Source organism: Homo sapiens, chromosome 19 (genome assembly GCF_000001405.40).
Source record: "Homo sapiens chromosome 19, GRCh38.p14 Primary Assembly".
Lineage (NCBI taxonomy): Eukaryota > Metazoa > Chordata > Mammalia > Primates > Hominidae > Homo > Homo sapiens.
Window position 1 is genome coordinate 53,945,413 of NC_000019.10, and position 17,176 is coordinate 53,962,588.

Below are 17,176 nucleotides of genomic sequence, written 5' to 3' on the forward strand. Positions count from 1 at the left end.
GGAAAGAGTTCTGAATCAGCAGGACTGGACTCCCGGAGGGAAATATTCTAAGTCATTTTCAATAATTTCACCAATTTCTGGAGGTCATGCTTGAGATTCGGGATGGCAAATCATGTTTCAGCTTCGTTGTCAAAACTAAGTGATTCGTACGGGCTGCTTGGAGCCCGGTGTTAGAAGGATTCTGAACATCTGCTCAGTGGGAAAGAGTGTTGCCATTGATTGGTGCTGTCTGCCGTGCTGCTCAATTGGTGCTGTCTGCCTTGCCTGCAGGATGGGCTGTGGTGACGCAAATGCTAGATACTTGCTAACACTATGGGGAAGTTAACAACCTAAAATCCTAAGGGTTGTGTTCTTTTAAAAAATCAAGCTAGTTCTTTTGTTTATTAAACTTTGAAAATGGAATGTAATCCCACAGTTCGAGATTGGTGAGTTTTTTGATTTGTTTTAAAGAAATGCTGTGAAAAGTTCCACCTTTATTTATCCAAAGTAAGTCAGGATGTCCTAACATTCTGAAATCCTCCTCTTCCTGAGGCATTATTAGTTTTCAATGTATAATTTCAGGAATACTCTATGCATATTCAAGCATATATGCATGTGTTTAAATCCACATACAGATGAGTATGTGGTATACATATTTTTATTTTATACATTTATCATGTAATGCACATAGTTCTGGGCCTTCCAGTTTCAAATGAGAATGCATGGGGCTCATTTAGTATGTTATATAACTCTACTGTTTTCCAAGGCTGCTTAATAACAATTGTTTGCATAAATTAATTGCGTAATTTATTGAGTGCTTACATGCCAGCCACTTTGTGTTTCAGTCCTAAGCCTTTTACATTCTGTAACCTCAGGAGGTTTAGTACTCTTAGTATCATTCTCACTTTATAAATGAGATCCTGAGACACAGAGAGGGTAATTAGCTTTCTCCTGGTCACACAGCTAGTAAGCGGTCAAGCTAAAATTTGAATCCTGGGAGTCTCTTGTGTCGACAATACTTATCCGCTAAGCTGTATACCTTTGTGTGTGTGTGTGTGTATATATACTGCCCTCCTTGGCCTCCCAAAGTGTTGGAATTACAGTTGTGGGCCACCATGCCTGGCCCTCTGTGTATATTGAAGCCACCTGGTTCCATCTATTTATCTCTCTCTCTCTCTCTCTCTATATATATATATATTTTTTTTTTTTTTTTTTTTTTTTGAGATGGAGTCTTGCTCTGTTGTCCAGGCTGGAGTGCAGTGGTGCCATCTTGACTCACTGCAACCTCTGCCTTCTGGGTTCAAGCAATTCTCCTGCCTCAGCCTCCCGAATACCTAGGACTACAGGCACACACCGCCACGCCTGGCTAATTTTTTGTATTTTAGTAGAGGCGGGGTTTCACCGTGTTGCCCAGGCTGGCTGTGAACTCCTGAGCTCAGGCAATCCACCTGCCTCGGCCTCCCAAAGTGCTGGGATTACAGGCGTGAGCTACTGTGCCCGGCTTTTTTTTTTTAAACGAATCTCGCTCTGTTGCCCAGGCTGGAGAGCAGTGGCATGATCTCGGCTCACTGAAACCTCCAAGTCCTGGGTTCAAGCGATTCTCCTGCCTCAGCCCCCAGAGTAGCTGGGATTACAGGTACACGCCACCACTCCCAGCTAATTTTGTATTTTTAGTAGAGACAGGGTTTCGCCATGTTGGCCAGGCTGGTCTCAAACTCCTGACCTCAGGTGATCTGCCCTCCTTGGCCTCCCAATGTGCTGGAATTACAGGTGTGGGCCACCATGCCTGGCCCTCTGTGTATATTGAAGCCACCTGGTTCCATCTGTTTATCAATGACCTATATCTCCCTATTGCCCTTAGAAGTAAATCTAAGCTCCTCACCTATGTCCTTTTGCCAAGAGCACAAGTCTCAACATATGCCGTCCCCACTGCTGCCTCCTGCAGACTGAAGTTGTCTTCCCTACCATTCCCAGCTCCTTGCTGTTCTGAGGGTTTCCTTCCGAGGAATCCCCTTCCATCTCTCAGCCATATGGCAAAACCTCTATCCACTCTTTTTTTCTTTCTGAGACAGGGTCTTGCTCTGTCACCCAGGCTGGAGTGCAGTGGCACAATCTTGGTTCACTGCAGCCTTGACTTCCCAGGCTCAAGCCATCCTCCCACCTCAGCCTCCCCGGTAGCTGAGACCACAGGCAAGCACCACCAGACCTGGCTATTTTTTTTTTTTTTTTTGTATTTTTGGTAGAGAAGGGGTCTCATCATGTTGCCCAGGCTGGTCTCAAACTCCTGAGCTCAAGCAATCCGCTGACCTGAGCCTCCCGAAGTGCTGAGATTGCCGGCATCAGCCACCACACCGGGTTCTGTCCACTCTTGAGATTCAACTTACATGCTCCTTCCACCAGGAAGCCTTCCCTGAGCTCCCAAGCCTGCATCAGGGTCTAGCTAAATGCTTCCACCCTACCCTATACTGCCCCCCTTAGACCACACTGGTTTACAGGACAATACCACATACCAGTGCTTTTCAAAATGTGTCCTGGGGAGCTGGAACATCCCTGAGACTCATTTAGGAAGTCCACAAGGTCAAAGGCATTTTTATCGTAATACTAAGATATTTTCCTTTTTTTCATTCTTATTCTCTCATGAGTGTATAGAGTCTGGAGGCTTCACAGGAAGTAAGAACACGACTGAACACAGAAGCAGATATGAGACTGACTTTCTTCTGTTGAGTCAAACGTTAAATCTATTTTAAAAAATATAAACCAATACCATTATATAATTTTTTAATTTTGGAAACTAGTTATTTTTATTAAAGTAAGTTGCTTATGTAAATATACAATAAGCTGATTATTTTACTTAAATACATATTTTAGATTTTCTTCTCAGTTTGAATTGCAAATATGCAAAATATCGATAGACATAGCACAAATTTGAAAAGCTCTTTGGGGTCCCCTACAATTTTCTTTTTTTTTAATTTTATTTTTAGAGACAAGATCTTGCTCTGTTGCCCAAGCTGAAGTGCAGTGGGGTTATCATAGCTCATTGCAACCTTGAACTCCCAGGTTCAAGCAATCCTCCCATCTCAGCCTCCTGAGTAGCAAATACTACAGGTGAGCACCACCATGCCCAGCTAGTATTTTAATTTTTTTTTGTAAAGATGGAGTCTCAAACTCACGGCCTCAAATGATCCTCTCACCTCGGTCTCCCGAAGTGTTGGGACTACAAGTGTGAGCCACCAGCTCTCTACAGTTAAGTGTACGGAGGGATCCTGCATTCAAAGGTTTCAATGCTAATGCTGTATGTCACAGAGTTAGTAAGATTTACCTAATTCCTCTAATGACTATGTAGTGGTCCATTGCAGAGAGGTAATTTATGTGAACAATAAACTCATTTTAATTACGAATTTATTTATTTATTTATTATTCTTAATTTTTAATTTTTTTCTATTTTAAATTTTTTTCTATTTCTATAATAAATTGATTAATTTATTTGAGACGGAGTTTCACTTTTGTCACCCAGGCTAGAGTGCAATGGCACGATCTCTGCTCACTGCAACCTCCGCCTCCCAGGTTCAAGTGATTCTCTTGTCTCAGCTTCCCAAGTAGCTGGGATTACAGGCATGTGCTACCACGCCCGGCTGATTTTTTGTATTTTTAGTAGAGATGGGGTTTCACCATGTTGGCCAGGCTGGTCTCAAACCCCTGACCTCAGGTGATCTGCCCGCTTTGGCCTCCCAAAGTGCTGGGGTTACAGGAGTGAGGCACCGTGCCTGGCCCTGAAATGTAATACTCAGTCATGATTTAAAAGTTTCAGCATCAGAGAAGGGTATAAAGAAAGTAGCTTTTGGCTGGGCATGGTGACTCACGTCTGTAATCCCAGCACTTTGGGGGGCCAAGGCGGGTGGATCACTTGAGGTAAGGAGTTTGAGACCAGCCTGGCCAACCTAGTGAAATCCCATGACATAGTCTCTACTAAAAATACAAAATTAGCCGGGCGTGGTGGCACATGCCTCTGATCCCAGCTACTTGGGAGGCTGAGGCAGGAGAATTGCTTGAACCCCGGGAGGCAGAGGTTACAGTGAGCCGAGATTCAGCCTCAGCAACAAGAGTGAAACTCCGTCTCAAAAAAAAAAAAAAAAAAAAAAAAAGAAAAAGAAAAAGAGAAGAAAAAAGAAAGTAGCTTTCTCTTCACTCTTCTCAATTCCAGCCTCATTTCCCAGAGAGAGTGACTGTTCCCACTTTCTTCCTTTAGGACAGTGGCTCTCAACTGGAAGTCATGTTGCCCCCAGGTTGCATTTGGCAATGTCCAGAGATATTTTTGTTTTTGCTTTTTTTTGTTTGTTTGTTTTTTGTTTTGAGACGGAATCTTGCTCTGTCGCCCAGGCTGGAGTTCAGTGGCTCAGTCTCGGCTCACTGCAAACTCTGCCTCCCGGGTTCACGCCATTCTCCTGCCTCAGCCTCCCGAGTAGCTGGGACTACAGGCGCCCGCCACCACGCCCGGCTAATTTTTTGTATTTTTAGTAGAGACGGGGTATCACCATGTTATCCAGGATGGTCTCGATCTCCTGACCTCGTGATCCGCCTGCCTCGGCCTCCCAGAGTGCTGGGATTACAAGCGTGAGCCACCGCGCCCGGCTGTCCAGAGATATTTTTGGATGTCACAACTCAGGGCTGGGGGGAGTGAGGTGCTACGGGAACCTAGCAAGTTCTGGAATAGACCCTGAAATGTGCAGGAAGGCCACCCATGGCAAAGAATCATCTGGTCTCCGATGTGACTGGTGCGACAGTGATTGAGAAAGCCTGTGCCAGACTTTTATCTAGAAATCAATAAATAGAAATATCTTTATGAAGATATTTCTTTTGCGGCTGGGCGCAGTGGCTTACGCCTGTAATCCCAGCACTTTGGGAGGCCAAATCAGGTGGATCATGAGGTCAGGAGTTCGAGAACAGCCTGACCAACATGGTGAAACCCTGTCTCTACTAAAAATACAAAAAAAATTAGCTGGGGGTGGTGGCGGGCACCTGTAACCCCAGCTACTCGGGAGGCTGTGGCAGAAGAATCATTTGAACCCGGGAGGCGGAGGTTGCAGTGAGCCAAGATCACGCCATTGCACTCCAGCCTGGGCAACAGGGCAAGACTCCGTCTAAAAAAAAAAAAAAAAAAAAAAAATATATATATATATATATATATATATATATATATATATATATATATATATTTCTTTTTTTCTTTTTTACCTTTATTTTTATGGACACAAATGAGTTTTTCCTAAATTGATTCATAAGCTGTGATTCTTTTTTTAATTTTTATTTTGAGACAGGGTCTTTCTCTGTCGCTTGGGCTGGATGGAGTGCAGTGGCATGACCTTGGCTCACTGCAGCCTCAACCTCCTGAGCTCAAGGCATCCTCCCACCTCAGCTTCCTGAGGAGCTAGGACTACACTCCTGGTTCATTTTTTAAGAATTATTTTTTGGCCTGGCATGGTGGCTCATCCCTGTAATCCTAGCACTTTGGGAGGCCAAGGCGGGTGGATCACCTGAGGTCAGGAGTTCAAGACCAGCCTGGCCAACATGGTGAAACCCCCATCTCTACTAAAAATACAAAAAATTAGCCGGATGTGGTGGCGGACGCCTGTAATCCCAGCTACTCAGGAAACTGAGGCAGGAGATTCACTTGAACCTGGGAGGTGGAGGTTGCAGTGAGCCAAGATCGCGCTACTGTACTCCAGCCTGGGCAATAAAAGCAAAACTCCATCTCAAAAAAATATATATATTTTTTGTAGAGTCGGGGGCCTCCCTATGTTGCCCAGGCTGGGCTCAAGCAATCCTCCCGCCTCAGCTTCCCGAAGTGCTGGGATTACAGGCATGAGCCACGGCGCTCTGCCAGCTGTGATAATCTGCAGGAGATTAGGGACCTCTTGGAGAGTCAGATAAAAGCTACGGACCCCCAGGAAAAAAATACTTATACTCACAATATTCTGTACATAATATCAGGGGCTTCAGTGACATCCCATTAGCTCTGGCAGAATGCCTTGGATGTGTGATTTCGAATCACAGTCTCAACAAGAGAGAGATCACTAACGGTATCCCTCTTCCCCTTCTACAGATGAGAGAATGAGAGAAGGAAGCTGCAGTGAGAATCAAGCTTTGGATCCGGGTTCCTTGGGGAGGCAAAGAAGAGCCGGAGTTGGAACTCCAGCCACCTGGCTCCCCAGCGTTGGAATATTTCCACTTCACCCTGAATGAGGACGTTTAAGAAACGCTGATCGACGCTTCCTGGTACAGCAGGAAGACATGCCACCACCACCCTGTTCCTCTTGAGGAAACACAAAGGCCCCAGCTGTTGTTGATGAGAAACACTCGCGCACCTGGGAAAAACCACACACTCAGGATGTGAGGCAGGGAGAAGGGTTGGATAGGGACAAGAGGTTGGAACTGGCTGCGTAGAGGGTGGAGACCCTAGAATATGTATCCACTCATTCCCTGACTCATTCATTTTCTCATTCATTCGTTCATTCATTCATTCATTTGTTCATCATCCCTGGACCCGAGGGCTCCTGTCCATCAGGGCTGAGCTGGGATCTAGGGGACACGGAAGTAAATCAGACCCGTGCCTGTCCTTGAACAGCTCCGGCACCAGTGCGGAGAAGACCGACCCACATGTCAATCACAATATAGCCTTGCTGTGGCTTTAAGGAGCCAGTGCAGGCCTGGTGGGAGCACTGATGTAGACCCTGATGGAGGCTTGGGAGGTCAGGGAAGGCTTCCTGGAGGAAGGAGCGTGTAAGTTGAATCTCAAGAGTGGATAGTGCCAGGTGCAGTGGCTCTGTAATCCCAGCATTTTGGGAGGCTGAGGTGGGCGGATCGCTTGAGCTCAGGAGTTTGAGACCAGCCTGGGCAACATGACGAGACCCCCTTCTCTACCAAAAATACAAAAAAAAAAAAAAAAAAAAAAATAGCCGGGTGTGGTGGTGCTTGCCTGTGGTCTCAGCTACTGGGGAGGAAGAAGTGGGAGGATGGCTTGAGCCTGGGAAGTCAAGGCTGCAGTGAACCAAGATTCCACCACTGCACTCCAGCCTGGGTGACAGAGCAAGACCCTGTCTCAGAAAGAAAAAAAGAGTGGATAGAGGGTTTGCCATATGGCTGAGATGGAAGGGGATTCCACGGAAGAAAACCACCCAGGAAACCCTCAGAACAGGAAGGAGCTGGGAATGGTAGGGAAGACACCTTCAGTCTGCAGGAGGCAGCAATGGGGGCGGCATACGATGAGACTTGTGCTCTTGGCAAAAGGACATAGGTGAGGAGCTTAGATTTACTCCTAAGGGCAATAGGGAGACATAGGAGAATTTTATTTTATTTTATTTTTTATTTTTTATTTTTTTGAGATGGAGTCTTGCTCTGTCGCCCAGGCTGGAGTGCAGTGGCGTGATCTTGGCTCACTGCAAGCTCCGCCTCCCGGGTTCACACAATTCTTCTGCCTCAGCCTCCCGAGTAGCTGGGACTACAGGCGCCCGCCACCTCGCCCGGCTATTTTTTTTTGAATTTTTTAGTAGAGACGGGGGTTCATCGTGTTAGCCAGGATGGTCTCGATCTCCTGACCTCGTGATCCGCCTGCCTCAGCCTCCCAAAGTGCTGGGATTACAGGCATGAGCCACCGCGCCCGGCCGAGAATTTTATGTTATTATTATTTTTTGGGAGACGGAGTCTTGCTGTTGCCCAGGCTGGAATATAGTGGCACAGTCTTGGCTCACTGCAACCTCCGCCTCCCAGGTTTAAGTGATTCTTCTGCCTTAGCCTCCCAGGGAGCTGGGATTACAGGTGTGCGGCAGCACACCTGTATTTTTAGTAGAGACAGGGTTTCACTATGTTGGCCAGGCTGGTCTCGAACCCCTGGCCTCAAGTGATCCGCCTGCCTTGGCCTCCCAAAGTGCTGGGATTACAGGCGTGAGCCACTGCGCCTGGTGAGCTCTGGGTCTCACAAGGCTGAAGTTAAGATGCCGGCTGGCTGTGTCCTCTGCTGGGGATTTGGCTAGGGAGAGAACTACTTCCAACCTCCCACAGGTTGAGCAGAATTCATTTCCTTGTAGTTGTTTGGCTGAGGTCTCTGTTTTCTAGTTAGCAGTTGCCACTCACTCTCAGGTCTTTGCCATGACAAGACAGTTTGCTTCCTCAGGGTTCTCAGCAACTCCTTTGCTTTGGTTATTTCTGACGTCTTGATCCTTTCCTAAGAGATCACCTGATTAGGCCAGGCCCACCTGGGATAATTTCTTTTCTTTTCTTTCTTTTTTTTTTTGAGACGGAGTCTCACTGTTGCCCAGGTTGGAGTGCAGTGGCGCGATCTCGGCTCACTGCAGGCTCCGCACCCCCGGGGTTCATGCCATTCTCCTGCCTCAGCCTCCCGAGTAGCTGGGACTTCAGGCACCCGCTACCTTGCCTGGCTAATTTTTTGTATTTTTAGTAGAGACGGGGTTTCACCGTGTTAGCCAGGTTGGTCTCAATCTCCTGACCTCGTGATCCGCCCACCTCAGCCTCCCAAAGTGCTGGGATTACAGACGTAAGCCACTGCGCCCAGCCGGATAATTTCTTTTTTAATGAAGTCAACTGATTAGGGACCTTAATTATATTTACAAAATCCCATACCTTGCCATATAATGTCACATAATCATGGGGACTGCATCACCTCCTAGTGACAGCTCTTGTCCACACCCAAGGGAAGGAGATTCTCTTGGGTGTGTACACCAGGCGGTGGGAATCTTGGAGGTTATTTTAAAATTCTGCCTATCACAGTTGGAAGTGAGGACCGAGGACCTTCTCAAGGGAAGGGATTAGCAAACCTATCTCTAAGTCTGCAGGCTCTAGGTCTCTGGGTCAAGCCCAGCAGAGGCCTTGGCTAATGTGAAATGAATATGTGAGCAAATGTAGAAATGAGATCTTATAAAAGTCTACAACCTGCTTCTTCTGTGACACCCCTTCTGAAGGGGCCTTCCATGAGCTGAAGGAGTGATCAGTGGGTTCAATACTCCCATCCATCTATCTTTCTTTCTTTCTTTCTTTCTTTTTTTTTTGAGACAGAGTCTCACTCTGTCGCCCAGGCTGGAGTGCAGTGGCATGATCTCAGCTCACTGCAAGCTCCACCTCCTGGGTTCACGCCATTCTCCTGCCTCAGCCTCCCGAGTAGCTGGGACTTCAGGCGCCTGCCACCACGCCCGGCTAATTTTTTTTATTTTTTATTTTTAATAGAGACGGGGTTTCACCGTGTTAGTCGGGATGGTCTCGATCTCCTGACCTCGTGATCTGCCCGCCTTGGCCTCCCAAAGTGCTGGGTTTACAGGCATGAGCCACTGCGCCCGGCTTTTTTTTTTTTTGAGACAGAGTTTCACTCTTGTTGTCCAGGCTGGAGTACAGTGGCACGATCTTGGCTCACTGCAACTTCCACCTCCCAGGTTCAAGCGATTCTCCTGCCTCAGCCTCCCAAGTAGCTGGGATTACAGGCGTGCACCACCATGCCTAGCTAATTTTTGTATTTTTAGTAGAGACGGGGTTTCACCATGTTGGCCAGCCTGGTCTCGAAATCACGACCTCAGGTGATCTGCCCGCCTCGGCCTCCCAAAGTGCTGGGATTACAGGCGTGGACCACCACACCTGGTAATACTCCCATCTTTCAAAATGAAGTGAAGAGATGCTATCTCATTCCTTAAACTCATTCTACAAGTTCACTGCCAGGTATGTGCCCAAGAGATATGAAAACATATGTCTACACAAAAATGTGCACACAAATGTTCACAGCAGCATTATTTGTAATAACCAAAATGTGGAAGAAACTCAAATGTTCATTGATACATGAATGAATAAATAAAATGTGGTATCTCCCGCTATACCATGGAATGTTATTCTGCCATAAAATGGAATGAAGCACTGGCTCATGCTACAACATGGATGAACCTTAAAGACATTACTTACTTAGCCTGAAAGCAGCCAGACACAAAGAACCATACGTTGTATGATTCAATTTCTATGAAATGTCTAGAATGGGAAAATCTATACCGACAGAAAGTACATTAGTGATTGCCTAGGGCTGGAGTGGGTGCTTAGATTGGGGGTGATGGCTAAGGAGTACACAGTATCTCCTTGGACTAATGAAAATATTCTAAAAGTGATCTGAAGTTGATGATTGCACAGCTCTGTACAATTAAAAGCCGTTGAATTGTACACTTTAAGTGGGTGAATTGCATGATATGTGAATTCGATCTCAATAAAGCTGTGAAAAAAAGAGATATACTCTTTAGTTGTTGAAATAAATCATGATGTAATCATGCATCACTTAGTGTCACAAAATTACCAATAGAAGAACTAACACTTGAGGAAGAAGGGAAGGAAAAGTGAGGGCTGCATGAATTGATTTGTTATCTATTAGAGAAAAAATATCTATAAATAATGTATAATTTTGATTCCAAAAGAAAATCATTATTTAGGGATGTCAAGGCAAGTAAGAGAAGAAATAGCTAAGAATATTAATAGACGGCCGGGTGTGGTGGCTCATGCCTGTAATCCCAGCACTTTGGGAGGCCGAGGCAGGCAGATCAAGAGGTCAGGAGATCAACACCATCCTGGCCAACATGGTGAAACCCCATCTCTACTAAAAATGTAAAAATTAGCTGGGCATGTTGCTGCATGTCTGTAATCCCAGCTACTCGGGAGGCTGAGGCACAAGAATGGCCTGAACTCGGCAGGCAGAAGTTGCAGTGAGCCGAGATTGCGCCATTGCACTCCAGCCTGGCGACAGAGTGAGACTCCGTCTCAAGTAACAAGAACAAAAGCAAAAACAAGAATGTTAATAGACTTTTCCAATAAGGAAAAGGACTTGAGGTGGAACAGGCTAAATTATTTTTATTGTAGTCCCTTGTGTACCATTTGATTTTTTTTCTTTTCTTTTTTTAAACCATGAGCCTATATTGATTGGACTAGGAAATATATTTTCATTTAAAATAAAATAAAGAGGTTTCCCCCAGTTGCTAGTTCGTATAATTTAATAGTTCTCAACAGGGGCGATTTTGTTCCCCAAGGGACATTGAGCAATGTTTGGAGACATTTTTGGTTGTCCCCAAATGCTATTTTTAGGGTGCTATTTGGAGGTGCTATTGGCATCTAGTGGATAGAGGCGAGGAGTACTGCTCAGCATTCTACAATGCACAGGACAGCCTCCACCACACAAAATTATCCAGCCCAAATGTTGAGAACGTTGAGATTGGGAAACCCTGGCTTTAAAAAATTATCTTCATAGTCGTTCTCACCAGTGCAGTTGTATCAGCACAGGCTCTGGAATTTGATGTCCTGATGAATGTCCTCCAATACAACTGACCTCTCAACCTCAGTTTTCACATCTTTAAAGTGGAGGCTGCTAACAGAACCCACTTCTTTTGAAGATGGAACCAATACCCTCAGGCTCCTTGGAGTCTGTAATATTAAATGCCCAGTTTGTTTTTATTTTTATTTTTTTCGAGACGGAGTTTCACTCTTGTTGTCCAGGCTGGAGTGCAACGGTTCGATCTCAGCTCACTGCAGCCTCCACCTCCCTGGTTCCAGTGACTCTCCTGCCTCAGCCTCCCAAGTAGCTGGGATTACAAGCATGCACCACCATGCCCGGCTAATTTTGTATTTTTAGTAGAGACGGGGTTTCACCATGTTGGTCAGGCTGGTCTCAAACTCCTGACCTCAGGTGATCCGCCCGCCTCGGCCTCCCAAATTGCTAGGGTTACAGGCATGAGACACTGCACCCAGCCTAAATGTCCAGTTTATATTGGTTATCATCATTGTTTGCTGATGTATCTCCCCCCGCATCCCCCAGCAAAAGAGCAGAAAATAATCAACTTTCCTCAAACGAATGAATTCCAGACCCCTTCCCTTGGGGGCTGTGTTTCTTAGCTTCTAAACCAGGAGTGTTGGAATGCATGTCTAAACTTTCTCCCATGGGGCGGGGTGAGAATTAAGTGAAACGACCTAAAGAAATTTCAGTAGAAATGTGAGATGCTGGGGACTGAAAGATATCGCCCCTCCAAAGGAAGGAACCAGCAGGAGCAAACACTAGGTAAATAGATTTAGGGAACACAGGTTATTCCTGTTTCTGCCAGCCCCCAGGAGGGAGCAGTAAAGGTGTGCTGGGTTAAATGACTATGAATTTCACCTATTGTTGGCCGCCCTCCACCCCCATAACCCCTATTGTCTCAGAGCCTCAGGTTACTCATGGTTAATGTAGGAACATTGGTGCCCACACGGCAAAGATTCTGTAGGACTTCTGTAAGACAGCGAAGCATGCCAACAGCCTTCAATCAGCCATGGCTACTAGTTCTTAGTTTCTGATAACATTTTTACGAGGATCGGGTCTTGAGTAAACGGCTTGCCTAGAGCCACGTGCAATCCCACTTCCCATCCGCGTTCTCACTTGGTTGGAGGCAGCTTCTGTGCCCTTTATAACCAAGAGCAACTGAGTATAGAGGAGAAGAAGTGTTTTGTCCAAGGTCACACGAAGCCTTGGGAGCATCCGTGAAATTTGGACCCAAGACCGAACTTTCAGACTCTGATCTCAGACTTTCCACCTCCGATTGTTCCACTTCCCCAACCTACTAGCTAGTTCTAGAACGGACAGATCCATGCTTCTCAAAACTGTTGCATAGACCCCTACCCAGTCCCAGACAAGTTTCTTTAAGACATATTTGCACCCAAGCTTTTGGCATTCTACTCTCCTTCCCAGCCCCAGCCCCATCTCGGGGGCATCTAACTCTACCCCTTCTTCCCCATCAGGTTTGAACTAGGGGAGGGGAGGGGGATGAGAAGAGAAAAGAAAAAATTGTTGGTGAAAGTCAAAAGGCTTGTTAACGTGGTAAGTTCAATATTGTTTTATCTGGGGTGGTGGGGGGGGAATCTTTGCCCTCGCCACTTGGAGGAGGAGCGGTGGGAAGACCCCGGGAAGTTGCGCTTTCCCTTGGATTTTGGGAAAGGGGAGCATTCCTGGGGTCCTTTTGAAAAGGCCCTCCCCTCATTTCCGGCCGCCGCTGCCAGCCTTGGCTGGGCGCCTGGATCCTGTTGCTATGACGACAGGAAGAGGCGGTGGCGGCGGCAAGCGATGCTGAAGAGAGATGGAGGCTAGTGGGGGTGGGGGTGGTGGCATTGGAATGGGGGAGGGGGCAGGGATCCGGGGCTGGGGACGCGGGAGGGGGCGGGGGCAGGGGTATCCTTCATCTCTGACCTCCTCGGGGCTTCTCAGCCTCACCCCTCTCCCGTTATTTTTTCTGGGCTTCCTTCGGGTGCATCCCCAGTCTCTGTGTCTGCCTCTGTTTCTCTGGATCTCTCTCTCTTCCTGTCTCAGTCCCTCTCCGTCTGTCTCTCTCTGGGTCTCCCTCTTTTCCTGCACTTGCCTTTCTTTCCCCAGGTACCTTCTGCCATCCAGGCCCTTCTACCCTCCATTTCTTTCATTTACTATCTTGCTCCCCCGCTCCCTCTCCGCATCTTCTTCTCTCTTTAAAGCTTCCTTCTCTCTAGCAAGACCTTGCCCCCATCCCCAATTTCTCTCCCTACCCGCTCTCCATTTCATTCCCTCTCCCCCCTCTCTCCCCCATCCTCTCAGTCTCTCTCTTTCTGTCTGTCTCTCCCCATCTGTCCCTCCTCCCTCCTCTCTGGATGACTCTCTCCCTCTCTCTTCTTTCCTTCTGTTTCCCAGATCCTGACCCCCCCCACACACACACTTACCCCAGCCCTCCCCCACCCCCTCCCCCCCAGCCCCTGCGTTTCTCTCTTTGAGTCTCTGTCCCTGTCCCCTTCTCTCTCTGGATATTTCTCTGTGTGTATCTCTCCAACTTCCTTCTGCTTCCAGCCGCTGCCTCCCCCAAATTTCTCCCTCCCCCATTTCTGTTTCGCGGTCTCTGGGTCTCTCTCTTTCCGTTTCTCCTCGTCTCTCTCTGTCTCTCTCCCTCCCTCTCTGGATCTCTCTCTTCTCCTCCGGCTTCCTTCTGCCACTCGACCCTGCCCCCCTCTTTCCCTTCCCCCATCCATCTCCTCTCCGAGGCTCCCCATCCCTCAGCAGCTCCCCTCCCCCTCCCTCCCTACTCCCTCCCTCTCGTCCTCCAGCTCCGCACTTTACCCAGCGACACGAGAACCAAATTGTCTCCTCACCTTTTTTTTTTAATATATATATCCCGACCCTCACTCCCTTGGGGCCCAGGCTCAGAGCTGCCCCCCAGCCCCAGCCTGACCTCAGCACCCCCATTCCCCATACGCCTCCTCATCTCCACTCCCCGAACCAGGTCGGACGCCTGGGTCCCTCACTGCTGGGGGAGGGGGAAGCAGCGAGAATTGGGAGCCAAAAGGTTTTTCTGGGGGGGGTGCCAACAGGGGGGGCTCGACGTCCCCTCCTCCGTGCATCGGAGAGTTGACCTATCATTAACAGAGGTGAGACAGATCTTTTTATTAATCGGAGGTGGGTGGAGGTAGAATTAATGTTCTGTGATCCCCCCCCCCGAATTCTGGAGAAAAGAGCTGGTCCCCTTCCTAAGGAGAAAGGAGAGTGACCCCCTCATATCCGGAAGCTTTAGAATTGGGGGTCCCCAGCTCTCTTCTCCCTGGCAGCTGCTGAACGATGGACTAAGAGTCCCTAAAACCAGATTGTGCCCCAAATTGACAAAATGAAAAGATCTTCGAATCTTTTTTTTTTTTTTTGGACGGAAGGAGAATTTCCCTCCTTTCCCTCCTCTTCCCTTCCCCTCTTATCCCAGGTTGTTAGGGGCCTGGGGTCACAGGCTTACCCCACTGAGAGCAGATATCTGTTAAGACAGGGTAGGTGGCCCTGCTGGTGGTGAGGGGCACCAATTCGGGGAGAAGAGGCCAAGAGATCAAGAAGAGAGGAAACTCAGCATGCGGACAGAAAAGAGAGGAAGGGGCCGGCGCCCAGGCCGGGAGGCTGGGGGTTGCCCTGTCCAGCGGGCTGCTGAACTGTGGCCTGAGGAAGGGCTGTGTGTGGGCAGACGGGAGTTGAGGTGGGGGAGGGAACACAACGTGTGGGGCACTAGGCCCAGTTGCCATGGAGACACCCCCCATAGACAACCTTTTTCCACAGCCCCTCCTCGGAGCAGCCCCAGTCTGAGGCCAGCTGATGGGGGGCAGTGGAGACGGGCAAGCAATCAGGAGGCCAAGGTCACCCTGTACTGGGACCTAGGTTCTGGTTTTTGTTTTGTTTTTTTTTAATCCCCTCTTCGTCTAAGGTTTCCAGGCTCTTAACTATAGTGGGTTTGGGGGAAGAAGTTGAAGAAGCAGTGTGGAAGCAAGTAAGGAGTACATCCCCCAGAGGACAGTTGGGGTGGGGGAGACAGGCAGGGCTGGGGGCATGGTGGTCGGGGGAGAATGTGGAAGAGAGAAATGAAGGAGCCACGGGGCAGCGGGTGCAGGCTGGGAAAGTATTCCTAATTGAAAAGAGAGTTGTAGTCTTGCGGATCACATTTTTCAGAGGGACACAGTCTACTGGGGGGGCTCTTTCTGCATGTGGAAGAAGATGAGGGGCTACAGTGTGTGTTCCTGTACAGGTGAAGTCGTAGAGGGGAGTACTGGGGGGCGTTCCCAAGAAGGGAAGCCTGTGGGGGCCTGCGGAGGGGATTTTCCGGGGCAGAGGAGAACCTGGGAGCTATAGCGGTGGAGCAAGAGGAAGTGAGTCAAGGGAATTCTATATGATGAGAGAGAAGTTGGGGAGGATGCTTCCTGGTACATTGAAGAGAGAGTGGGCTTCAAAGTGAGTTAGGGGGATCTCAAGTTGGGGGAAACAGTGTGCTGAAGATCCCGTGTGATGATGAAGGGCTACGAGGAGGGGATTTGGAGGCAGTGGGAGCTGCTGTGAGTGCAGAGGGGCGGGTGGGTGGTACAGTGTGCCCCCTGCTATGGGAGTACAGGGCAGAGATTGGAATGGTCCTGAGTGGAGAGACATTTGGGGTCTGGAGGAAGCCATTCTTGCGAGTAGAAAATGCCGTGGAACTCACGGAGGAAATTTTTCTTAATGGAGGAGAAAACGATGGTTATGATATGAGTTCGTTTAAGTTGTGGGGGGGGGGGTGGCGGGGTGGGAAGATTCAGAAAACTCTTCTAAAGCAAAAGAGAGGGTGGGGGTTTTCCTGGAGTAAAGGCATAGTATGGGGTGGGGAGTGAGTGGCTTGTGGGGAGACAGTGGGGGCTGTGACAGGGAATGGGCTGGAGATGGCGGGGGGGGGGCAGCTTGCAAACCAGTGGGTCTGATGTTGGGTGCATTAGAATTCCCCAGGGAGCTTTTAAAAACTTACATGCGCAGGCCACACTGCAGACCAACCATGTCGGACTTTCTCAGGTGGGACTCAAACATCCGAATTTTTAAGGTCCTCGGGTGATTTCCAGGTGTGTTGGAGGCTGCCCGAGGCAGGAAGGGGGCTTCCAGGGAGAGGAGGCTGACTGAGGGTGGCTGGTGATTCCGAGTTGCACAAACTGTGAGGGTCAGCTGGGATTTTCTTTTTCTTTTTCTTCTTCTTTTAATTTTTCCTTTTTAGTTGAAGAGAGGTTGAGAGATTTATTTTTTCCTAAGGAGAGGAAACTGTGGGGGACCATTTGGAGTGATGGAATGACAAAAGCCAGACCGGAGGGGGCTCGCGGAGGTTACTCCCACGGAAGTGGTGCTACTCGGGCTTCTTAAGTTGTGGAGACGCTCAGGGAAAAGTTGGGCTGACAGGGAAGGGTTCTAGCGGGTGGAGAGGTGGGGCTTGCAGGGGAAGAGTGGGGAGAGCTGGTGGGCGCCGCATGGTGATGGGGCGGGGGTCGCTAAGGAAGGAAGAACGCGACGGGGGCTCCTGGGGAGGAGGCGGCGGCGTGGGGCTTGGCATCATGGCGGGGGGTGGCTTCCCATGCGATGAGGATCGTGGAGCCCCCTGGGGCGGAGGCGGCGCGGGCTAGGGGCGAGGGCTGTGAGTGTGAGCGGTGGTGGGGACTCCTCCGAGTGGGGTTAGTGGGATGGTGGGACGACTTTCTTGGGCAGAAGACAGGAGTGGAGAGAGATTTCATCTTATTTATTAATTATTAGCGGTGGTGGGGACTCCTCCGAGTGGGGTTAGTGGGATGGTGGGACGACTTTCTTGGGCAGAAGACAGGAGTGGAGAGAGATTTCATCTTATTTATTAATTATTAGCGGTGGTGGGGACTCCTC

General features: G+C 48.6%; 3 annotated features.

Moving 5' to 3' along the window:
- Window positions 11,910-12,444: an enhancer, noted in NCBI's record as "OCT4-NANOG-H3K27ac hESC enhancer chr19:54460576-54461110 (GRCh37/hg19 assembly coordinates)". NCBI's record gives its function as "activates a minimal SCP1, AML or CMV promoter by ChIP-STARR-seq in naive H9 embryonic stem cells {active_cell/tissue: H9 hESC(naive)}" and the evidence as "EXISTENCE:reporter gene assay evidence [ECO:0000049][PMID:30033119]".
- Window positions 14,655-15,555: an enhancer, noted in NCBI's record as "H3K27ac-H3K4me1 hESC enhancer chr19:54463321-54464221 (GRCh37/hg19 assembly coordinates)". NCBI's record gives its function as "activates a minimal SCP1, AML or CMV promoter by ChIP-STARR-seq in naive H9 embryonic stem cells {active_cell/tissue: H9 hESC(naive)}" and the evidence as "EXISTENCE:reporter gene assay evidence [ECO:0000049][PMID:30033119]".
- Window positions 16,366-16,886: an enhancer, noted in NCBI's record as "H3K4me1 hESC enhancer chr19:54465032-54465552 (GRCh37/hg19 assembly coordinates)". NCBI's record gives its function as "activates a minimal SCP1, AML or CMV promoter by ChIP-STARR-seq in primed H9 embryonic stem cells {active_cell/tissue: H9 hESC(primed)}" and the evidence as "EXISTENCE:reporter gene assay evidence [ECO:0000049][PMID:30033119]".